Genomic DNA, 25,342 nt, shown 5'->3' with positions numbered 1-25,342 from the left:
AGTCCCAGCTACTCGGGAGGCTGAGGCAGGAAAATGGCGTGAACCTGGGAGGCGGAGCTTGCAGTGAGCCGAGATCGTGCCACTGCACTCCAGCCTGGGTGACAGAGCAAGACTCCGTCTCAAAAAAAGAAAAAAAAAAAAAAAAAATACGAAGTCCAAGAGAGCAGGTTTTTTTTTTTTTTTTTTTTTTTTTGGTTGTTTCCACCTGTGAATTCTAGGCCGTAAGACAGTAAGAGACATATAAAAGAGGTTCAATGAACACAACTGAAAAGGCTCTCAGATGGCCACATTCACACACAATACCCAAGTCTCTTCTATGTATCCTCTGAGATGACAGAAGGGAGGTCAGAATCTTAGTATCTCTATTCTGAAATCTTGCTACCCTGAGACCATAAGCTCTCAGAGAGAAGAGTAGCTATAAATTGGTGTGACAGGATGCTAAAGGACTAGAGAAGATGCTTAAAGAAAAACAGATGGTTGTCATTTAGCTAATTGTTAGGTTTTGTTTAGCTAAGAGGGTATGTAAGCCAAAAGAAAGAGAGAAATTGTTGGGTTTTGCTAGTAGAACTATTTGTTTTTAAAATCCCTCCCTTGCAAAGCATTAAAATGCTGGATACATTGCAATATTAAGTGAATTGGTTAACTCTCAAGATAATAAGGGAAATCCCCAGAAACATAAAGTAAGACAAAACAAAATAAGCCATGAGCAAAAAAGTAAGAAAATCAGGAGTCAGGGCTAGTTAGGAAACAAAGGCAATATCAGGATTCTAGAGCAGTGTTGGCAAGCTACAGCACACAGGCCAACCACCTGTTTTTGTAAATAAAGTTTTATTGGCACATAGCCATGCCCATTCATCTATGTATGGTCAGTGACTGCTTTTGTGCTGCAACAGCAGAGTTAAGTAGTTGCAGCAGAGACCATATGGCTCACAGGCCTAAAATATTTACCACCTTACCCGTTCTGAAAACTTTTAATAGTTGTTCAGGGAAATGAAGTCTTTTGGGCCTGTACAAAGAAAACGAGAAACCCGAGACTCACATATAGTTTAGATCTTCAAAGGGACACACCCTCCAGGGAAAAAGTGGACTAGAAAAAAAAAAAAAAACTGTTGGTAAAACAATCCAGAGGGAAATCTACCTTCACCACAGCTTCAAGTAAAAAATATTATTAATAATAGTAATAGTAATAATAATAATAAAAACAATAATGATGGTCTCCCCTGAAAAGTTTTAACTATGAGACTGCTAGTTACAATTTTTACATAGGTCTCAGGTTCAAATTTTTACTGCCCAGTGAATCTTGAAAACTCCAAACACAGAAAATAAATGTCTGGCAGAGGGAAGTGCACATCTCCAGAACAAAGCATTCATTACACAGTTACATGAGGATTCCCAACAGTTTAAGTTCAATTAAATATGTTTTAAAAAGAGAAAAATTTTACCAAACCTCAAGACAGCCAATGACTATAAGTGGAAGTCAACAGAAACAGCAAGTATGATTGAAACTCCAACAACTTCAAATATTAGAATTATCAGATATAGAATATAACTATATATGATGTGAAGGTAATTAATGCCACTGAATTATATACTTAAAGGCTAACATATTAAATTTTATGTTATGTATTGTCTTAGTTTGTTATCTGCTCCTCTAACAGAATATCATGGACCGGGTAATTTGGTTTTTAAAGTTATTTGGCTCACAGTCTGGGGGTTGGGAAGTCCAAGAGCATAGCACTGGCATTTGGCAAGGGTCATCCCATGGAAAAAGGCAGAAGCAAGCACACAAGACGGAGACCAATCAGGCCAAATTTCTTTTTAACAGAAACCCACTCCTTCCATAACTAACCTCCTCTCACAATAATGGCATTAATCCTCTTCATGAGAGAGAGCCATCATAACCTAACACCTCTTAAAGGCCCTATCTCTTAATGCTGTTACAATGGCAATTAAACTTCAACCCGAGTTTTGGTGGAGACAGTCAAACCATAGCATATATATTTTACCATAATAAAAACACAAATATACTTGTGTATTTTTGTATCAATTTTTTTCTATCACTTTTTATTTCTTTCAACATTTATAAATATAAGCATAAATATAAATATATATTTTACCATAATAAAAACACAAATATATGTATATATATTTGTGTATATATATATTTATGTGTATATCTGTATATATATATTTGTATATATATGTTTATGTTTTTATTATGGTTATATATATGAGAGAGATATTAAAAGAAATAAAAGATGATAGAAAGAAATTAATAAGAAAAAGAAGACTATCAAAAATGATCAGATTTAACAAAGAACCAAATAGAATTTATAGAAATAAAACTATATCTAATTAAAATAACATGCATTAAACTACATATATATGCGTGTACATGTGTAGATGAAAGATACATAGATGAATGAATGCAAAGATAAATAAACTAATAGATAAGTGAAGCAGCAAAATAAACATGAATGACTAAAGAATTTGTGAACTGAAGACAGATCTTAAGAAAACACTCAGAATGCAGCAAGAAAAAGATGAGAGAATACAATGAGTAAGAAAAAGGGAGGAATGAGAAGTTCTAACATACACCCGGAGTCCCAGAAGAAAGAATAGAAACAATGGGAGAGACATTCCAAAAAGAAAGTGGCTAAGGAAATTCTAGAACTAATGAATGACATGAATCCTCAGAGACAGGAAGAATAATGCAGGACAAATTTCCAAATATAGCTACGCACCTCAGCTCACACCTGTAATGTCAGCACTTTGGGAGGCTGAGGCAGGAGGATTGCTTGAGCTCAGGAGTTTGCGATCAGCCTGGGCAACATAATGAGATCTCAGCTCTACAAAAAAATTTAAAAATTAGCCAGGTGTGATGGCATGTGCCTGTGGTCCCAAATACTCAGGGTCTCAAGGTGGGAGGATCACTAGAGCCCAGGAGGTCAAGACTGCAGTGAACCTAGATCATGCCACTGCACTCCAGCCTGAGTGACAGAGTGAGACCCTATCTCAAAAAATGATAATAATAATAATAATAATAGTCACACACACTAGGCACATCAGGTGAAACTGTAAAACACCAAAGCAAAAGAGAAAATGGTTTAAGTCACATGAAATGAAAGATAGCTCATCTACTACAAAATGACTATAGTCTGACAGCAGACCTCTGTCAGAAATAACAAAGCACAAAGACAATGGAATCATGTCATCAAAGGCTGAAAAAAATAATTGTCAATCTGGAACTGTGTCCTCAGAAATGTTACCTTTCAAGAATGATAGCAAAATAAAAACATTTTGGTGAAACAATAACCAAGACAGTTTACCACTCATAGCTTCTCATGAAAGAAACATCTAAAGGATGAATATGTGGAAGAAGGAACATGATCCTTGCAGAATGCTCTGTTAGAACAAGAAACACTGAGCTGAATTGCTCAGAGAATAGAGTGTTTTGAAGCAAGAAAAGAAAGGGAGATAAGAAAGCTGGTAAAGAAAAATGCTTTTTGAAAATCAAGAAATATGTGTAATGGGGGTGTTTTACTGTATTTTTGCAGTGTGAAATGCATTGTGGATTCTTCCTGTTGATGTTCACAATATCTTCAGTAAAATATATTGTATTAGTCTGTTCTCACACTGCTAATAAAGACATACCTGAGACTGGGTAATTTATAAAGAAAAAGAGGTTTAATGGACTCACAGTTCCATCTAGCTGGAGAGGCCTCACAATCAAGGCAGAAGGCGAAAGGCACGTCTTACATGGCAGCAGGCAAGACAGAATGAGGACCAAGCGAAAGGGGAAACCCCTTACAAAATCATCAGGTCTCATGAGACTTATTCACTACCATGAGAACAGTATGGGGGAACTGCCCCCAAGATTCAATTATCTCCTACCAAGTCCCTCCCACAACACGTGGGAATTGTGGGAGCTACAATTCAAGATGAGATTTGGATGGTGACACAGCCAAACCATATCATATACATTTCTCTTAAGTATTTTGTGGTGTTGAGTCTCTTTCTTGAGATGGCATCAAGAGCCAGATAAACATTCAATGTGTACATAAAGCATGAGCAGGGTTAACAGGTCCTATATGTTGGGTACTGATAAAGAAAGGGGCATTTTCTAGATGTGTACCCTAGCTCTAATAGGCACAGCCTAAGGGATTTCTGGTGGGAGCTACTGGCATTATTTCCACAGTGCACTTTCATGTTTTTCTCTCCATACCACTCACCATCAGCAAAAGGGATTACTCACTGGGTTGGATTATGGAGCAATCTTGTTACTCACCAGGATGACTAGGGTTGTACTATGTTTTGGAAGAAAAGTTAAGCAGCACCTCCATTTCCACCAAGGCCAGGCCTCGGCATTGCTGATGGCAGATTCCAAGCAAAACCTTAGAAGAAAAGGGAAGTGAAAACTCATATGACTAGGCACCAGGCACTATGTTATGTCATTTAGCCCTCACATATAAGGTATATAGGACTACAAGATAGGTATAGCTATTACATAGTGGGAAGGAGGCATGGAAAAGAGAGACAACAAAGTGTAATACACCTTACCAATTGAAAATAAGTTTGTTCCTAATAATTACATTTAAAACCAATACGTATTTGATGAGATCAATGATCTAAGAAGTTTTCTAGCTAGAGGCGACCTGACTATTGCCTAAATCAAGGGTTAGCAAACTACAGCCTGTGGCCAAACCCAGCCTACCACCTGTTTTTGTACAGCTATGAATTAAGATTGGTTTTTATATGTTTATAATGGTTGAAAAAATCCACAAGAAGACTATTTTGTGACAAGTGAAAATTATATAAAATTCAAATTTCAGTACCTGCTATGGTAATGAATGGATAATGGAAGGTTATGGCCACCTTTCAAGCCCCAGAGGTCGTTGCCCTCACTCTAATTTTGATGATTCATGTGTGACTTATTTAATTGTTATCTATTGCAGATATATAAAAGAATGCTTTTATTCTTTTTTTAAGAATCTAAATTCAAATCGTCTTTCATATCACCAAGTTTCTACTCCCATCACCCTTCAGAACATTGACATTTTAACTTTTTGACCTACCCCAAACCCTCCTGCTACTTCCCAGGATACAAAAAGCACATCTGCCACACAGCTGGGTGCAACAAGGAGCCCCCACGCAACAGTGCATTGAAAACTGGTTTGGGAGAACTGAGGGTTAAGTGAAGTCCCCCAGGAATTCCAATCTGTTGCAGGCTGCTAATTCAGAAGCTGCCTGGGGCCTAGGTCTGAATATTTGTATCCCTGAAAATTCACATGTTGAAGACCTAATCACCTCTGTGTTGGTACTAAGAGGTAGGGTCTTTGGAAGATGATTAGGTTATGAGAGTGGAGCCCTCATAAATGAGATTAGTGCCCTTATAAAAGAAGGCCCAAGCCAGGTGTGGTGGTGCACACCTGCAGTCCCAGCTACTCAGGAGGCTGAGGAAGGAGGACTGCTTGAGCCTGGGAGTTCAAGGCCACAGTGAGTGATGATCACACCACTGTGCTCCAGCCTGGGTGAAAGAACAAGACTCTATCTCTAAAAAGGAAAACGAACAAAATGAATAAATAAAAGAAGCCCCAGAGAGCTGCCTTTCCTGTTCCATGATGTGAGGACACAGCAAGAAAAAAAACCAACCATCTATGAACCAGGAAGCAGGCCGTCGTCAGACACTGAACCTGCTTGTTCCTTGACCTTGGGCTTCCCAGCCTCCAGAACTGTACAGTACATTTTGGTTGTTTATAAGTCACTCAGTTGATGGTGTTTTGTTATAGCAGCTGGAAAGTACTAAAACAATACCATAAAAATTTTATTGGAACACAGCCATACTCATTCATATACATATAGTCTAGGCTGTTTTTGTACTATAAGAGCAGATTTCGGTAGGTGTGGCAGAAATAACAGAGTAAGGGATGAGCAAGGCATAAGGAAAGAGGTGGAACTATCATTCCAATAGAAGTAGTGCCCACATGGAAACAAGCACCCCAAACACCCACACGCACTGCATATGCCCCAGTGCTCACCTCCTGCTTCTGCTGCTCTGTCTTCCTAATCCCTCCCTTTAGTTCTGAAGCATGAAGTGCTCCCATGACTTCCCCATATTTCTCATGCCTGCTAGAAGGCCTTGACCACAAACCTACATATTTGCCTTGACCATGGCCACAAGCCCCGTGTGGCTCCCACTGACGCAGCTGACTCAACCCTGGTCTGGATGGCCCGTTTGCAGAAGGCACTTGGTTTGGCCGCAACATGAGTCATTCTGGATAATTATAAGAATTGATAAACTCTGCAGGAACCAAATTCTGCTCTCCCATGAACTAATGCTTCTGTCCTGGTCAAGGTGGATAATGGAAGGTTATGGACACCTTTCAAGCCCCGCAGAGCTCTGCAGCTCCTCTAGCCACTTGTTCCCTTCAGGAGGCCACAAATATGCCCACTCCAAATTTGCACTCCAGCATACCTTTCTCTCCTGATATAGCACATTCAGTGGATTAAGACGGACCTGGTTTAAATCGTAGCTCTCTCACTGGACTGTGTGACCTCGGAGAAGCCACCTCACTTCTCTGAACCACAGCGTCCTCACCTCCAAACTGATGATGGCAAGCCCCCTCTCTAGACTGTTGAAGTTGGCATGGCAGGCAAGGCTTCCTGGTGCTTTACCTCAGCCCCACCTCCCCACACCCTCCCACTTCCCTGCCCACTGGAACTGCTCCCTATGCCTCTGCCTTGCTTTGGTCACTTCCTTTCTTGTTTGCATTCCTCTGCTTTTCCTGCCTTCTGTCCTTTCAGTTCCGCTTCCCTGGGAAGTTTCCAACACCCAGGATTTCCTGAGTGCCATTTCCCTGTACTGTGTGGCCACCCTGCTTACCTATCTCATAGCCCTCACTCCAATGCTTCAAAATTATTTCCACGCCTCCCTGCCTGCCTCATGAGGTCCTCCAAGGTGGGAAATTTGATTCCTTGTTTGCCATTTCCAAACTCACTGCCTGGCACATTGGACTCTAATGAAGGCGGAGGGGACTAGGATAGGAGTGTTCAAGTCACAGCGTTCTTGAGTTCTGGAAATCGAGACAATTTGTCCCTTCCATTGTCTATAACTCTGCAAAATCTGACCTCTTTGAACTGAAAACTGCCCTTAAGGGCACTGTGACACAAGCCATGGCAACTCAGCAGGAAGCCTTGTGAGCACCCCACCTACGGGCACTGGCTCTGCAGCTCCAGGTTTCAAAGGCTGAAAACTGGGGGCTGTCTATCCTACAGCCCCCGTCACGTGTGTGTACAATTGGCGACCTCTCCAATACAAACAACCCAGGAAAGACAATACCAGTCTGTTCCAAAGAGAGAGGAATTCTAAGCAGTTGCTACTTCCTGGATGACTGAGTATTCTCTACCCTGACAACATGGACAGTCTGAACAGAATTTATTCAAAACAGCTTTTCCCCCCTAGTTTCAAATTAAGAGGTGCAATGTTACCTCTGACCAGTTTGCAATAGTGGTATTGCAAACAGGGAGGCTTGCCGGAGATATTTCAGTACTGCCACCTCCATGAAGTATGCAAATTCAAGTGTAAAAACCTGAAATGAGAGTGCAGGGAAGAATGCCAACTGCATGCTCACTGTTTTCTGGGAGACCTATAGGTATAATTTCTACCTCTGATCAGTGTCATTGTGCAAATGATTTTGCATGTACCATACAGACATTTATTTTTTTAGCTTGACTATCAGGCAAAGGAGGAAAACACTATGGCCTTTTATAAGGGGAAGTGTCTCCCTAAGGAAATAATTGAAGGCCTCAATTGCTCAAGTCTTTCAAAAGACACTGTACAAAGCACCCCTGAAAACACTGTGGGGAATAATTCTGTGTTCACTGGGGAACTGGCTAGATGATCTAATAGGTCGTTGCCCTCACTCTAATTTTGATGATTCATGTGTGACTTATTTAATTGTTATCTATTGCAGATATATAAAAAAATGCTTTTATTCTTTTTTTAAGAATCTAAATTCAAATCATCTTTAATATCACCAAGTTTCTACTCCCATCTCCCTTCAGAACATTGACATATTAACTTTTTGACCTACCCCAAACCCTCCTGCTACTTCCCAGAATACAAAAAGCACATCTGCCGCACAGCTGGGTGCAACGAGGAGCCCCCACGCAACAGTGCATTGAAAACAAGTTTGGGAGAACTAAGGGTTAAGTGAAGTCCCCCAGGAATTCCAATCTGTTGCAGGCTGCTAATTCAGAAGCTGCCTGGGGCCTAGGTGTAACCACAGCTAGGAAAACAATGCCTTAGCTGCCTTATCCTGAGCAGCATTTAGCATTTATCATGGTCAGAAAACCACCTGTTACTTGGGAGAGATTCAAAGGAATTCTGAGCCATAATTAAAGCAATAATGAATAAAAACATATTGTGAATTGCTACCCAAACCCCAGGCAGATGTGTTATTTAACTGTGGGCTTGATCTGCACTATTAATTTGGAATAAAAATAACAGACAACAAAACATATACAGAATCAAGACCCTGCCTGCCCCGGGGTTTTATTTCTTTTCAAGTCCTTGGCAGTTGTGGTTAGTAACCCAAATGCAAGCAGAGCTGACTTTCTTGCAAACTGCAGTGGTGTCTGACAACACAGTAGAACAGAGCTGGCAGCCAATCGGAGTCAAATGAATCGCTGGATCCCTGTACAGATCCATAAATGACAGTTGAAGGAGATGGGCTAGTGGCATGTGCCAGTTGGGTTTGCATCCTCCCACTTCTGAGGCCTTTTGACCCGGCTGAAGCCAGGAGCAGATTTTCTCCCCCAGGGGAATGCACACCTGAGTACTCGGATCTGGCCAGGAGATAATCCTGGTTGTTTCACTGGGAAACATCTGAAAACACATTTCTCTGACTATCTGTAGAACTGCAATTAAACACAGAAACTCGACCAGGCATAGTGGCTCACCCCTGTAATCCCAGCATTTTGGGAGGCTGAGGCCAGCAGATCGCTTGAGCCCAGGAGTTCGAGACCAGCCTGGGCAATATGGCCAAACCCTGTGTCTACAAAAAAATACAAAAATTAGCCAGGCATGCTGGCAATTAGCACCTGTAGTACCAGCTAATCGGGAGTCTAAGGTGGGACGATGGCTCGAGCCCAGGAGGTGGAGGCTGCAGTGGGCCAAAATCCCACCACTGCATTCCAGTCTGGGCAAGCGAGACCCTATCTCAAAAACAAAACAAAACAAAACAACTCACAGGTAAGGAACAGTGGCAGGGAGAGGTCATCTCCTACTTAAAAGTTCTGTTCTGTTTGGCAGTGACTAGTTTGTTATTAAGGCTCTGACTCCATCTCATTAAGCTCTTTCCAAATCTTCTGAGAGGAACATGCTCTTGAGAGGGTGAGGGGAAGGACATGGGGCTGTGAACTGAAGAAGAGGGGGCAAAGCAATTTTGTGGTACGCGGGTGTTCATAACTTTGTACTACACTTTACCCTTAACAAAATTCAGATTCAGTTGACAGATCTATGCAAATGTATGAAAAGTGGAAAAAGACAAGCTAGCATTTGTTTCAGAGGTTGAAAGCATCACTTTGATTTGCAATGATTTCCAATCTACCTCTTTTTCCACAAGGAAAAATTGCAAAGACAAGATCCCTAAATGTCACAAAATAAAGCCTGCCAATGTTCTGTTGGCATATAGTTTAATTCTTGAACAATTACCCTGCCATATACATTTATTCTTAAATTTTATATATTGACACATTGAATTTTGAAACTGAAAGAGAAAATGACACATGTAAATACCCTCAAACTCAGAACTGACTTTAAAATTCGATCTATTACTGTGTATGCATGAGTGTGTGTGTACTAAATCTATGACAAGTGCAAGTTGCTGGTTTATTGCAATTGACTTAATATCACTCTCAAAGACTGAGTGTACATTCTCATGCCCTGAAAAAGTTTTGAGTAGATCTCTTCTGGGACAGGCTATCGTGTATATTTAAGACATGATCTCTACAATAGTAAAAATACATTGCACTATTATGAATTCCTAGCTGAGAGTGGTCTTTGTGTGGCTGCAGGCATACTACCACCCTGCAAAGGCTCTCCATTGCCATTCACGTTAATTGCAGACTGTCCTTCAAGACTGCCCAAGTATGACCTCAAACACCTTTTCTGGATTCCCCTTCCATTACTCAACAAACTTCAGACCAGCGATAGTGGACTCCTGGGTGCTCTATAAAGTTTGCTTATCTGGCCGGGTGCAGTGGCTCATGCCTGTAATCCCAGCACTTTGGGAGGCCAAGGTGGGCGGAAACCACCTGAGGTTGGGAGTTCAAGACCAGCCTGACTAACATGGAGAAACCTCATCTCTACTAAAAATACAAAATTAGCCAGGCGTGGTGGTTCGTGCCTGTAATCCCAGCTACTCGGGGGGCTGAAGCAGGAGAATTGCTTGAACCCGGGAGGCGGAGGTTGCGGTGAGCCGAGATCGTGCCATTGCACTCCAGCCTGGGAAACAAGAGTGAAACTCTGTCTCAAAAAAAAAAAAAAAAAGCTTGCTTATCTTCTTCCTCTTTATGTTTTTGCTCACCCGATTTCCTCCTGTTGAAATGATCTTCCAAACTATCCCCATCCCAGCTGAAGCCTGATCCCAAAGACCATTTCCTGAGTGCCATGACTATGCCTTATTCATGGCTATATTCCCAGCAGCCAACACAATGTCTGGCAAGGGGTAGACAGTCAATATGTATTGAATGAATGCATTTTCACAGCCTTTTCCAATATTAGTTTTTCAATTAAGTCTTTTCTGATCCTTTCCTCTACAGGACTCCAGAGCATGGTGCTAGAATTCTTTGGTGGGACCTTCCATGTTCAATCTGGTATTACAGTGACTTGTCTACTCCTCCTCCCAGCCCCTCCCCCACCCTGCCCATCCTAGCCTCCACGACTTGCTATCTGCTAAAGCTATTAATTCATCCACCTTATACATGTACCTTACATGCATAAAAACAATAATACTGTCATTTGAGTAATGCAGAAATGTTTACAAAGCACTTCACATTCATCATCTTATATCATTCCTACCATAAGTATATCAAATAGGAAGGGCCACCATTTAATAGATAATAACAATAGGTAACATTTATGGAGGGCTTACTACCTGCATTAAATACACAACCTTGTTTAACCCTCACAATTCCATGAGGATAGCTGTTTTTGTCCTCCTTTTACAGAGAAAGAATCTGTGGCTCAATGGGCTAAGTAAAAGACCAAGAGCACCCAGTTGGTAAGGGCCAGGGTGGTGGCAGGTGGGCTAGCTGGGTCTGGCTCCAGAGTCTATGCACCTAGTCATTTCACCCCACTGAAGCTTAGAAGGCCTATCTCAAAATCTCAATGCTAGGGACAGCAGAATCAAGGCAGGAAGTCAGTTCTTTCTACTACATGCTACTCTTCTTCCTCTCTGGAAAGACTCCTGAACAAAGAACTGGATTTAGTTTGAGAGCTGAATCTCAGTGCATAGTATAGCAAAGTGGGAAGAGCACTGACTCTGGAACCAGATTTCCTGGCTTCAAAGTCCAGCTCTACCATTTACTGGCAGAGGGGTATTGTGCAAGCTGGTTAATTTCTCTACCCCATAACTTCCGCTGTGGAGGCAATAATAGTATCTACCACATAAGGGTTTTGTGAGCACTAACTGACAATATTTGAAAAGCGCACAGAGGCCAGGCACAGTGGCTCACACCTATAATCCCAGCACTTTGGGAGGCTGAGGCGGTGGATCACTTGAGGTCAGGAGTTTGAGACCAGCCTGGCCAACATGTCAAAACCCCCTCTCTACTGAAAATACAAGAAGTAGCTGGGTATGGTGGTGCATGGGTAATCCCAGCTACTTGGGAGGCCGAGGCAGGAGAATCACTTGAACCCGGGAAGCAGAGGTTGCAGTGAGCCGAGATCACACCACTGCACTCCAGCCTGGATGACAGAGCAAGACTCTGTCTCAAAAAAAGAAAAAAAAAAAACCGAAAAGTGCACAGAATAGTGCATGCTTTATGCACACTTGGAGCCTTGCCTCATTTAGAGGGAGTTCTGAAGCCAATGAACACTCAGAAAAAACCTTGTCTTTGCCTTTGTTTGGGTATCCAGACTCTCTGCATGCTAGCATCACCCCTAAGCATTCGAGAGAATGATTTCACTCCATGCAGAACTGGCTCTCACATCTGAGGCCATCCTGGCCCCAGTATGACCTACTCAGCCTCACACGTGCGCATGAGAACTGACTGGGATTGAGGGTAATGCTTCCTGCCATGGACACACATGTCTCCCAGTCTAATCCCACCCCAGCCCAACTCCCTCTCGGAATTCACTCCTGGCCCATTAGGAATACACTAAGGACCATATAGATGCTCATTTTGTCATTATTTCACACATGGTCCTCCAGATGGGACTGACATTCTACACTATCTCATTTTCCATTTGTGTGCACTTAACCCAACTAAAAGGCCACCAGTGGTGCCTGTCTGTACCAGCTCCAAAGCCCTCTTATCTGTCCATCTCTCTGCTCCCAGCTCTCTGCTTCTCTCTTTGTTTCCTTCTGTTTCTCTACCTCTCCCTTTCTGAGTCTCTCCCTCCATCTCTCTTTCTCTGTTTTTCTGCATCTGAGGTTTTTCTCTCCCTTTTTTCTCTTTTCTCTCTCTCCCTTTCCCTCTCTCTCTTTCACACATGCACACAGACACACACACATACACACACACACACACACACTCACCCCCCAACATGACATGCTAATTGGGCTCCCAAGTGAGTTTGCCTCACCCCTAAAGGCAGAAGTAAGTCGAGATGGGTTAGAGAGGACACACTTCACACCTGTCAATTAAGCTCAATTGCTTGCTGCGTGAAACCAGACCCGAAGCCCTGGGCAGGCCGACCTGGCTGGACGAGGCCAAGCCTCAGCTGTCCCTCCAAAGTGGGCTGAGGGAACAAATGCTCCCTCTGTTCTCAGTGGATGAGAGCATCTCTTGGAATGTCCGGGGAGCAGCTGTGGGCCCCTCCATAGGGTGGACAGAGGAGACTGTTCCCAGCGAGTTTATAGAACTATATGTACTGCAGTTGGTCAGCTATTTTTACAAAATTCCAATTACACAGCAGAAGGACAAACACTGCATAAGGAGGAAATAGATGATGTCCCAGCTCTCATGTCGCTGGAGTGTATCAGTAGCAAGTAAAGGTCTTGAGACTGGACTGACCATAATAGGAAGGAAATATTACCCAAAACAAAGGTGCCTCTATTAATATATTACTTTCTACTTAAAAAGATCTGCCAACTGGAACAGAGCCCATCAAGAGTGAACCCTGGACGTTGCTGCAAGCCAAGGGTGGAAATATTTTTAAGGGTGGGCTAAGATCCAAGGCTTCATCTGTCATTTTCTACACTTGACAATTATTTGCAGACTTACAGTGTTGAAAGTATGAGACAGGGGATGTCCCCCAGCCTCACAGAGCTTACAGTTTAGAGGAGAATAAGGACAAGTGAACAAGAGGTGATCACTCTGTGTGCTGAGTGTGGGGAACATGGAAATCCAGGGTGCTGAGTGTGGGGGCCAGCGGTGGCTAATATAGGTGTGCAGTCAGGAAGGGCCTCCTGAAGGAAGCAGCATGGAAGCTGGGGCCTGACTATGGGTGAAGGTAGCTCACAGAACTCAGGGAAACACAAGGAAAGGGAAGCAAACAACAAGCAAAGGGAGGGAAAGAGTGTTCCAGGCAGAAGGGACAGAACATGTAAAGGCCAGCGTGAGAGAGTTTGGCAAGGAGAGGGAAGCCCCATGACAAAGGATCTCATGGGCCACGTTAAGGAATTTGAACCACATCCCAAGATCAATGGAAAGTAATCACAGAACTTTAAGTAGAATGTAAGGGTACAATGTAATCAGAATTGTATTTCAGCAAGATGTCCCTGGCTGCTGTAGGAAGAAAAGAATGAAGGCAAGTGGGTGGCTGCTGTAGTAACCACAGTGGAGAGAATGAAGGAATCAAGAAGCATTTAGGAGGCAAATCATTAGGGCTTGATGGTTGATTGTATGAAAGGCTGGCTAGAAGAAGGAATTGGAAGCTGGGCATGATGGCTCACACCTATAATCCCAGCACTTAAGGAGGCCAAGGCAGGTACATCACCTAAGGTCAGTAGTTCGAGACCAGCCTGGCCAAAATGGTGAAAGCCCATCTGTACTAAAAATACAAAAATTAGTGAGGCAAGGTGGCACATGCCTGTAATCCCAGCTACTCAGCAGGCTGAGGCAGGAGAATCACTTGCACCCGGAAGGCAGAGGTTGCAGTGAGCCGAGATCACAGCCTGGATGACAGAGTAAGACTCTGTCTCAAAAAAAAAGCAATCGGGGATGACCTCTTGGCCTTTGGTTTGAATGGTGATGCCATTCCCTCCTGCAGGGACCCATGGAAGAAGAGCAGAGTGGTCAGGAGGTGATAAGTGCCACTTGGGGGGTGTTGATGATGGACATCTGTGTCACTCAGACTCTAGGGTGGCCCCATGGTCCATCCTCCTGGTGTTCACCCCCTTGGATAATCCCTTTTCCTTGAGTGTAGGCAGGACTTGTGATTTCTTTATAATCAATAGAATGTAACTCCTATAAGACTTTTTCTTAGCCTGCTGAAACTAGAGGCTCTACTGAGAGCTTTATGAAGCAAAAGCTGTATTGGAAAAAGCCACGTGGCAAGGGGCTGTGAGTAGCCTCCAGAACCCAAAGATGGCCCTAGCTGACAGCCAGCAAAAGTCTGGGATCCTTGGTCATATAGACACAAGGAAATTAATTCTACCAACAACCTGAGTGAGCTTGGAAGCAGATTCTTCTCCAGTCAAGCCTCCAGATGAGCACACAGCCCAAATGACACCTCAACTGCAGCCTCATGAGAAGAGGCAGAGGACCCAGTCAAGCCATGTCTGGACTTCTGGCCCATGGACACCATAAGATAATAGATATGTGTTGGTTTAAAATAACACAGCATCTAATTGTAGATAGCCAACAAGCAACTGGATATTGTGTCTGGACCTCAAGACAGAGGTCAGTCTTGGAGTTTATTGGCAATTATTCGCACAGAGATAGTAGCCAAAGCCATGGGAGAGCATGCAGTGACAAGGGGAAGGTCTAGGACAGAAACTAGAGGACTCACCAACATGAGTAGATAAGAAGCCTCAAAAGATTCTGAGTAAGAATGCCCAGAGAAACAGGAGGAAAACTAGAAATACAGTTGTATTCATAGTAGCCAACATTTACTTAAAATGTTCCCTGTGCTAAGTACTGTTCTAAATGGATAGGAGGTGTTAACTCATTTCATCATTACAGCCCCCCTTTGAGGTAAGTACTATTATGTTAGTATCCTTCTATTATAGATGAGGCAACTGAGGCAAAGGGAGGATAAGTAACTTACCCGAGGCCAGGCAGCTAGTAAATGGCAACTCAGGTGCTGTCTCCAAGCCCACATTCTTACCCACTTAAGCAAAATTGACTCCTTCTGTTATAGGAGCAGAAGCCCAGTGCAAATTGACTTAACCATAAGACAGAATTTACAGGTTCACCATAACTAAAAAGATGAGGGGTGGAACAAACAACATATAATCTTTCAGGCACACTTGGGGAAATTGGTGCAATGCCATCCTTTCTCCCGCCCTTGCCATCTTCACCCCTGCCTCTCTCCATTTCTCAGATCAGCTTTCCTAGCATTGCCTTTATTCTCAGACAAGCTCTATTGACAAAGACAACTCCTGGCACATCCAGCCTGATATTATCTTCAAGGAAGAAGCCTTGCCTGTTGCTTACTTACCTTACACCAATCCTAGGGGCCAGGGAGATGAGTTCCGTTTGTTTGTGTGTCCTCCAAATTCGAACATCACACACCGGGGCCTGTTGTGGGGTGGGGGGAGGCGGGAGGGATAGCATTGGGAGATATACCTAATGTTAAATAACGAGTTAATGGGTGAAGCACACCAACATGGCACATGTATACATATGTAATTAACCTGCATGTTGTCCACATGTACCCTAAAACTTAAAGTATAAAAAAAAAGATTAGAAGACTATATACCAAAATGTTATCAATAATCCCTTGATAATAAATAATTTTAATGTTTAAAAAAAAATTCATATGTTGAAACCTAATCTCTAACATGATGGTATTGGGAGGTGGGGCCTTTGGGAGGTGATTAGATCGTGAAGGTGGAGCCCTTATGAATGAGATTAGTGCCCTTATAAAAGAGACTCCAAAGAGCCACCATGGCCCTTCTTCCATGTGAGAACACAGTTTGAAATACTGTTTATAAACCAGGAAGTGGGCCATCGCCAGATGCCAAATCTGCCAGCACCTTGGTCTTGGACGTCCCAGCCTCCAGAATAGTGTGAAATAAATTTCTATTGTTTATAAGCCACCCAACCTATAGTACTCTGTTATAGCAGCCTGAAAAAACTGGGACAACTCTCCCCCACCCCAAATTTAGAATCAATTGAGAGATAAGTGTAGAAGGCAAACAGAGTCCACAGAGTCCACATGTCAGATTTAAAGGTGATGGGGAGGGGAGCTATAGTGGAGACATGACTTAGGTGTTTGGCAAAAAATTAGGTTTCTAATATTGCACCTAAGAATAAAAGTTACCCAAGTCATAGGCCACACTGGACAACTGCCAGCTGCCCTAGCAGGGGCACATCCTGGGAACACAGGCTACCCAGCTATGCTGGCCACGTGGCATCCTAACGTATTTTCTCATCATAATGCACCTTCTCTTCAGGCAGAAGAGTAGGAGAATGAAGCTGAGCCACACATGCCTCCTCCTAAATTTACCTACCTCTTTACCATCCTTCCCACCCACTCCCACCATCCCCTAGGGAATAATGGAGGTGGGGGGGAATCCCAGATACATTGTCATTAGAATGGCTTAAATTTTAAAACCTGACAATACCAAGCACTGATGAGGACATGGAGCAACTGGAAGTCTTATCCATTGCTGATAAGAACACAAAATAGTAAAGTCACATTGAAAGACTATTCTTATGAAGTTAAATGTACTTTACCATATAACCCAGCAATCCCATTCCTAATTATTTACCCAAAAGAAATGAAAATCTATGTCCACACAAAGATCCGTAAGTGAACAGTTATAAAAGTTGTATTCATAGTCACCAAAAACTGAAAACCATCCAATATCCCATCGACAGGTGAATGATTAAACAAACTCTAGTATCCACACAATGGAATACTACTCAGCAATAAAAAGAAACACATTACAGACACACGCAACAACATAGATGAATCTCAAAAGCATGGTGATAAGTGAAAGAAGCCAGTCTCAATCTGCCATTTTCTGTCCCTGAGTGAGTCTCTGGCATCCCATATTGCCTGTTTTTCTCACAGGCTCTATTCCATTCACTGGTTTGCCACCTCAAGGGAACGATGGCCACGGAGTCCACAGCCACTGCCGCCATCGCTGCGGAGCTGGTTTCTGCCAACAAAATTGAAGATGTTCCTGCTCCTTCTACATCTGCAGATAAAGTGGAGAGAATCGAGAATGGTGTATTGGGAAACACCTTGGATGGTGTGCATGTGGAAGAGGAAGAAGGAGAAAAAACAGAAGATGAATCTCTGGTAGAAAATAATGATAGCATAGATGAGGAAGCAAGGAAAGAGTTGAGAGAACAGGTTTATGACTCCATGGGAGAAAAAGAAGAAGCCAAAAAAACAGAAGACAAGTCTTTCGCAAAGCCTGAAACTGATAAAGAACAGGACTGTGAAATGGAGAAGGGTGGAAGAGAAGATATGGATATAAGTGAATCTGCAGAGGAGCCACAGGAAAAAGTTGACTTGACTCTAGGTTGGTTAACTGAAATCTCTGAAGGGGCAAAAGGAGGAGGAGCACCAGAAGGACCAAATGAAGCTGAGGTCACTTCTGGGAAGCCAGAACAGGAAGTACCAGATGTTGAGGAAGAAAAATCAGTTTCTGAAACTGATGTCCAAGAAGAGTGCAGAGAAAAGGAGGTTGGGAGAAGCACAGAGAGGTAATTGTGAGCATAGAGGAGAAGCCAAAAGAAGTTTCAGAAGAGCAGACTGTGGTGATTCTAGAAAAGCAGGGCACTGCAGTGGAGGTAGCAGCAGAGTCTTTAGACCCAACAGTCAAGCCAGTAGATGTGGGTGGGGACGAGCCAGAGGAGAAGGTAGTTACCTCTGAAAAGGCAGGAAAGGTGGTTCTTGAGTAACTGGTAGGTCAAGAAGTGCCACCTGCTGAAGAGTCACCGGAGGTGACAACAGAGGCTGCAGAGGCCTCAGCCTTAGAGGCTGGATCAGAAGTCTCTGAAAAGCCTGGGCAGGAGGCTACAGTTCTCCCTAAGGATGGTGCGGTCAATGGACCGTCAGCTGTAGGAGATCAGACTCCTACTGAACCACAGACTTCTATAGAAAGACTGACAGAAACAAAAGATGGCTCAGGACTAGAGGAGAAGGTCAGAGCAAAGCTGGTTCCTAGTCAGGAGGAGACTAAGCTGTCTGTAGAAGAGTCTGAGGCAGCTGGAGATGGGGTTGATACCAAGGTAGCCCAGGGAGCTACTGAGAAATCACCTGAAGACAAAGTTCAGATAGCTGCTAATGAAGAGACAAAAGAGAGAGGACGAACAGATAAAAGAGGGTGAAGAAACTGAAGGCTTGGAAGAGGATGATAAAGAAAATGATAAGGCTGAAGAAATGCCAAATGATTCAGTCCTTGAAAACAAGTCTCTTCAAGAAAATGAAGAGGAGGAGATTGGGAACCTAGAGCTTGCCTGGGATACACTGGATTTAGCAAAGATCGTTTTTAAAAGGCAAGAAACAAAAGCCCAGCTTTATGTTGCCCAGGCACATCTTAAACTCGGAGAAGTTGGTGTTGAATCTGAAAACTATGTGCAAGCTGTGGAGGAGTTCCAGTCCTGCCTAAACCTGTAGGAACAGTACCTGGAAGCCTACGACCATCTCCTTGCAGAGACCCACTACCAGCTGGGCTTGGCTTATGGGTACAACTTTCAGTATGATGAGGCAGTGGCACAGTTCAGCAAATCTATTGAAGTCATTGAGAAGAGAATGGCTGTACTAAACGAGCAGGTGAAGGAGGCTGAAGGATCGTCTGCTGAATACAAGAAAGAAATTGAGGAACTGAAGGAACTGCTACCCGAAATTACAGAAAAGACAGAAGATGCAAAGGAGTCTCAGACTACTGGGAATGTAGCTGAACTGGCTCTGAAAGCTACTCTGGTGGAGAGCTCTACTTCAGGTTTCACTCCTAGTGGAGGAGGCTCTTCAGTCTCCTGATTGCCAGTAGAAAGCCAACAGATGGTGCTTCCTCATCAAATTGTGTGACTGATATTTCTCACTTTGTCAGAAAGAAGAGGAAACCGGAGGAACAGAGTCCCTGGAAAGATGATGCAAAGAAAGTCAAACAAGAGCTGGAGGTGAACGGAGGCAGTGGAGATGCTGTCCCCAGTGGAAATGAAGTTTTGGAAAACATGGAGGAGGAGGCTGAGAATCGGGTTGAAAGCCGGGCGGCAGTGGAGGGGACAGTGGAGGCTGGAGCTACAGCTGAAAGCACTGCATGTAAAGAGAGGGCACAGCCCTCCTCCCAAGGGAAAGTGTTTTTGTATATAATGTATTTTTTCACTTTTGGAGGATTCTTTTTGTATAACTTCAATAAAGATTGTAAGCAAAGGTTGAGGCTTTGATGATTTTTTTCTTAATTATTGGCTGAATCTGCCTTGGAGCACTCCTGGTTTTATATAGTAGCCAAAGGTTTTGTTTTGGCCTCTGTACTGATCTGTGTTCCTGATCCTAATTCCTATCTGTCTAATGCGGAGGTGATCAAGTGTGGCTGCAGGCCTTTGTTTTCCAATGGTGCTATATTCTGCTTTCAAATACTTCACTGAACCCAGCTATCTTGCAAACCTTCAGTGGTGCTGTCCCTGGATGGGGGCTACCAAAGTGAGACTTGGTGAAGATCTTGCTCTTCGGTGCTGAAAATGGATGATGGACTTTGGCTGTGATCCAGGCCTAAGATGGTGCTTGTCCTATATCCACCTAGTCTTCAACTGGGGCTATAATCCTGTCCTGGAAAAAGAACTCTGAAGAAAACCTGGGTCGGGGGAATGATTCATAAGGAAAACGGTCTGCATTTAAGTTCTGGTTTGAAAGTAGCCAAGGGACTGATGGTGGACACTCCAGATGTGGTTGGAAGCATAAGTGGGGAGACTGGCTGGTTGAGTTTTATTTGTTATTTTCTGTATAGAAAGATTCAGATATATCAACACTTGGAATTGTTACCCATCTGCAGAACTGACTTCTCAAATAAAGATGCTAAAAATAAAAAAAAAAAAAAAAAAAAGAAAGAAGCCAGACTTAAAGGGCTGTATGCTGGATGATTGCATCTGTATGACATTCTGGAAATGGCAAAATTATAGGAACAAAACTCAGATCAGTCTTTGCCAGGGGCTGAGAGTAGAGTGGGAGATTTAATACAAGGGGGGATGAAGAGACCTTCTTGGGTAATAGAAGTATTAGATAGCTTATTAATAATAGCAATTACATGACTGTATGAATTTGTTAAAATTTATAGAAATGTGTATCTTAAAAGGGTGAATATTACAATTTATAAGTTAAACTTCAACAAACCTAAAACAAAACAAAAACAAAATAGGAGTGTTATGGTAGTGCAGTGGTTCTCAAACTTTAGTGTGCATCAGAGTCACCTGAAGAGCTTGATGAAACAGACTGCTGAGTCTGACTGGGAATCATTGTGATTCAGTGACTTTGGGTGAAGCCTGAGAACTTTCATTTGTAGCACATTCCCAAGGAATGCTGACAGCACTGGTGCAGGGGCCATGCTTTGGAAACCAGTGGTCTAGTGAAATCCCTCCACATGGAAACAATTAGCAGGAAACAAAGAGCAAGAAACAAGCATTCCTCCCTAACCAGGCATTTGTGCCAGTCCAGCGCAAGTGGTGGATTGGTGAGGGAGATCAGTGCTTTCATGTACAATCCCACCAGTAAGGCAGGGGAAGTTTCCAAAAGGAAAAGGGGCTCGTTTTCTAAAGGAGGAAGATCAGAAGATAAGTAGCTGTATTAGACTGGGTTCGCAGAGAAATAGAAACAATAGGATAGATACAGATGTAGATATAGATATATAGAGAAAGAGAGGTTTACTATAAGGAATGGGCTCATGTGATTACGGAAGCTGAAAAGTCCAAGATCTGCAGTCGGCAAGCTGGAGACCCGACAGAGCCAATGTTGTAATTCCAGACAAGATCTGAGTCTGAAGGCAGAAGACAGATGTCCCAGCTTGAAGACAGGCACAGAGAGTGAATTCTCCCTTACTCGGCCTTTTATTCTGTGAAGGCCCTCAATGGATTGGAGGAGCCTCACCCACAATGGGGAGGACAACCTGCTTTACTCAGTCCACTGATTCCAGTGCTACTTTCATCCAGAAACACCCTCACAGACACACCCAGAAATAATGTTTAACCAAATATCTGGGCACCCCATGGCCCAGTCAGGCTGACACATAAAATTAACCGTCACTGTAGTGTACTGGAAAGAGTCCTGATCCAGACCCCAAGAGAGGGTTCTTGGATCTCATGCAAGAAGGAATTCAAGGCAAGTCCATAGAGTAAAGTGAAAGCAAGTTTATTAAGAAAGTAAAGGAATGAAAAAGAATGGCTACTTCATAGGCAAAGCAGTGGCCTGGGCTGCTCAACTGAGCATACTTACAGTTACTTCTTGGTTATGTGCTAAACCAGGGGTGCATTATTCATGAGTTTTCTTGAAAAGGCATGGGCCACTCCCATAACTGAGGGTTCCTACCCTTTTTAGACCATATAGGGTAACTTCCTGATGTTGCCATGGCATTTGTAAACTGTCATGGCACTGGTGGAAGTGTTTTTTAGCACGCTAATGTATTATAATTAGCATATAATGAGCAGTGAGGACGACCAGAGGTCACTTTTTTCTCCATCTTGGTTTTGGTGGCTTTTGGCTGGCTTCTTTACCACAATCCGTTTTATCAGCAAGGTCTTTGTGACCTGTATCTTGTGCTGAGCTCCTGGCTCATCCTTTGACTTAGAATGCCTAACCTCCTGGGAATGCAGTCCAGTAGTCTCAGTCTCATTTTACCCAGCCCCTGTTCAAGATGGAGTCACTCTGGTTCAAATGCCTCTGACAGTAGCCCAAAACAATGCTGACTTTGGAGGAGCACTAGAGAAGGCAAAAGAAGTGTTTCTATAAGAAAGGAGTGGGAATGCTGTCAGATGCTCAGTTAGGCAAAGGAGATAAGGACTCAGGTGCGTTCACTACATCTAGCAGCAAGGAGGCTACTGTGACCTTGGAAAGACCAGATTTAAAGGGGTAGCAGTGGTGGAGCCAGGTTGCTGAGAAGTGGTGGTGCAAGGTGGGAAGACAAATGCAGGAATTGACACGACCCATTCAGTAAGCGTAGAAGACACATATGGGGAGGTAGGCACAAGGGTTTGGGTGGAGCATTGCATTTCCTTTTCAATATGGGAGACACTTAACTTAGGAAAGGAGCTAGTAGATAACAAGAGGTTGAAATTATAGGAGAAAAAAATATGGTCATGGAGTGAGGTCCCTGAGAAGGCAGGCAAGGAGTGCAAAGAAAGAAGATGGGGTGCAGATGTAGGTAGGTTTGTAAGTTTAGTGGAGGGAAATTGAGTGTGTTCTCATCTGCAGGCTTCTGTTTGTTCTGGGGAGGATGTCCTAGGTCAATCAAGGGAGGCACTGAAACCCTGGATGGCAAAGTTAGTCTCTGGAGTCAGAGCTCAAATTTGCTGCATAACAGTGGACAAGTTTCTCCAGTGCTTGATCAATGTCTATGAAATGGGAATGTTATAGGACCTTTCCAAACATAACAGTTTTTCCAGCTGTGCCTGAAACACAGCAAATGCTCAGTGTTTGCTCACTGCCAGTGAAGAGTTTAAGGAGTGAAGAGAATATCTGAAGTACAGACTGTTAACCATAGAACTTCGAATAGGTCGCAGCTATCAGAGACGAACTCTACCAAAGGAAAGAGAAGCTTTGTTAATCTAGTCAGCTGAGAGTCCAAGCAATCTGGGGAATATTACTAGCAACCCTCTTCAAATTCTCACAAGATAGTTCTCATTTGTAAAATTATGGGAGACAATGTGCATGCTGGGGAGGGATTAGAAACTCCCAGATTCTACTACCCCCTGAACTACCACCAGCTATGGGAATGTGAGTGATTTGTAGGCAAGGCCATTATTAAGGTCACCTGCAAAGTTGCATCAAAACCCAACAAGTTGGTGTTTCAGAGGTTCAGAAATTAGTCACCTTCTTATAATTGACACCATCAGATGGATTGATCGTGTAAGATACTCTGGATAAAAAGAGTCGGGGTAGTGGGACCTTAGCTAACCTGGAGAGACTGAAGGGGACTCCCCCACCCCCCAGCTCAGTTCACCAGCCACCAGCCAAGTCTGCTGGGTGAATGACGCTGCTTGCATTCTGCAAGGTAAGCAAAAAGATAACAGAGCTTTTTTTCCCCAAAAACATTCCATCTTCCATTGTGTGTGCCAGGCTGAGCTTGCATTTCCAAGGGTTTTTTCCCCTTGAATTCTTTGGACAGGAGTACATAAAAGTGCTGACCCGGATGTGGTCCCAATTTAATCACAGGAAAAGCAGAACTGCTCCAGTTCCTTTGCTCCTTTTCCAAAAGGTGAGGCAGTTTCCAAACTTCTGTTTTTCCGTGTATGGCCTTTTCCTTAGGAAGTCACCAAATGGCAGTTACAGTATTTCATCAGTTCTAATGCATGTATTCTTCACCTGTTAACATCTCTGATATGGAGATGCATTTTATAGTCCACGGCACCTCAGCTTTGTGTAATAACTAAGTTGGCCCGTCTTACAATTAATGTCTTTGTTTTGATGGACTGTGGAAATTGTCCTTCAGCAAATGCTTTGGTACAGAGACTTTCTGTTTTGCCTAACTCCACTCACAGCTCCATGCATTTGATACGATATCTCTATTATGGCAGAAAACAAGCATTAGACAGATGTAGTGACCTCCTGAAGGCCACAAGGTTAGTAAGTAGCAAGTGGGATAGTGCAAAGTCATGCTGCCTCCTGAAATATTTTAGCTGGACCAGCATCATCAACAAACTATTGAAACACCAACCTCCATGAAAAGCAGAGAGGAGATGAACAAGATTCACAGGAGGATTAGACCTTAAACTGTATATCATGGTAATGTACATCAAAACTTCAAAACCAGCTATGGGATGAAGCAACCATAGAACTGTTATGCTTTCTGGGCCTCGGCATCCTCATCTACAAATGTGGTCACAAAAACAACAATGGCTACCACTTATTGAGGATTTCCCTGTAAGAGGAACTGTGCCAAGCATTTTCCCACATTGTCTTACTTAATTCTCATGATAGCTTTTAAAAGTAGATATCGTTTTTCTCATTGGAAATGGTTGCTTTGAGTGTTTAGGTAACTAACCCAAGATTACAGATTGGAAGCAAGGGAGCTGGAACTCAGCCCTGCCTTTCTGTCACCAAGGAGTACCTAACCCTTGTCCTATTCAGCCCCATCAGGAGAGGTAACTGAACCTGATGACCCTTAATGTCCTATCTCTAAGAGGAAATGGTCCTGCTTTCACAAATAAGTACACAATGCCCCTATGACTGGTGACCATGCACTATGATGAGGTGTTTAAATCTAATCTGGTTTTGTAAGGACTTCAAAAAGTTAAACGTGGAATTACCATATGATCCAGCATTTCAACCTCTAAGTATATACCCCAAAGAATTAAATGCAAGGACTCAAACAGATACTCGTATACTAATGTTAATAGCAGCCTTGTACATAGCCAAAAGATAGAAACAATATCACTGATAGAAATGTCCATCAACAGATGAATGCACAAATGTATAGACATACAATGGAATGGTATTCAACCTTAAAAAGGAATGAAATTCTGACACATGGTATAATATGGATAAACCTTAAAAGCATTATGCTAAGTGAAATAAGCCAGTCACAAAAGGACAAATGTTTATGATTCCATTTATATGAGGCAACTAGACTAAGCAAAGTCATACATACAGAAAGTAGAATAGAAGCTCCTAGGGACTGGGGACGGGAGAATAAGGAGCTCATGTCTAACAGGCAGAGTTTCTACTTGGGATGACAGAAAATGTGTGGAGATGGATGGTGATGATGGTTGCACAACATTGTGAAAGTCCTTAATGCTACTGAAATGTACACTTAAAGCTGGCTAAAATGGGCCAGGCATGGTG

At 43.0% G+C, this 25,342-nt stretch overlaps 1 pseudogene, besides 2 other annotated features; it reads left to right on the top strand.

The window, feature by feature from the left end:
• Positions 6,245-6,504: an enhancer, noted in NCBI's record as "active region_27433". NCBI's record gives its function as "activates an Ori minimal core promoter by ATAC-STARR-seq in GM12878 lymphoblastoid cells {active_cell/tissue: GM12878}" and the evidence as "EXISTENCE:reporter gene assay evidence [ECO:0000049][PMID:35858748]".
• Positions 11,440-11,734: a silencer, noted in NCBI's record as "tiled region #10423; K562 Repressive non-DNase unmatched - State 22:ReprW". NCBI's record gives its function as "represses a minimal TATA promoter and a strong SV40 promoter by Sharpr-MPRA in K562 cells {active_cell/tissue: K562}" and the evidence as "EXISTENCE:reporter gene assay evidence [ECO:0000049][PMID:27701403]".
• NASPP1 (nuclear autoantigenic sperm protein pseudogene 1) lies at positions 17,346-20,376 on the top strand (annotated as a pseudogene).

The sequence above is a fragment of the Homo sapiens genome, chromosome 8 (assembly GCF_000001405.40).
Source record: "Homo sapiens chromosome 8, GRCh38.p14 Primary Assembly".
Lineage (NCBI taxonomy): Eukaryota > Metazoa > Chordata > Mammalia > Primates > Hominidae > Homo > Homo sapiens.
This window is presented reverse-complemented; position numbering and strand designations above follow the sequence as displayed.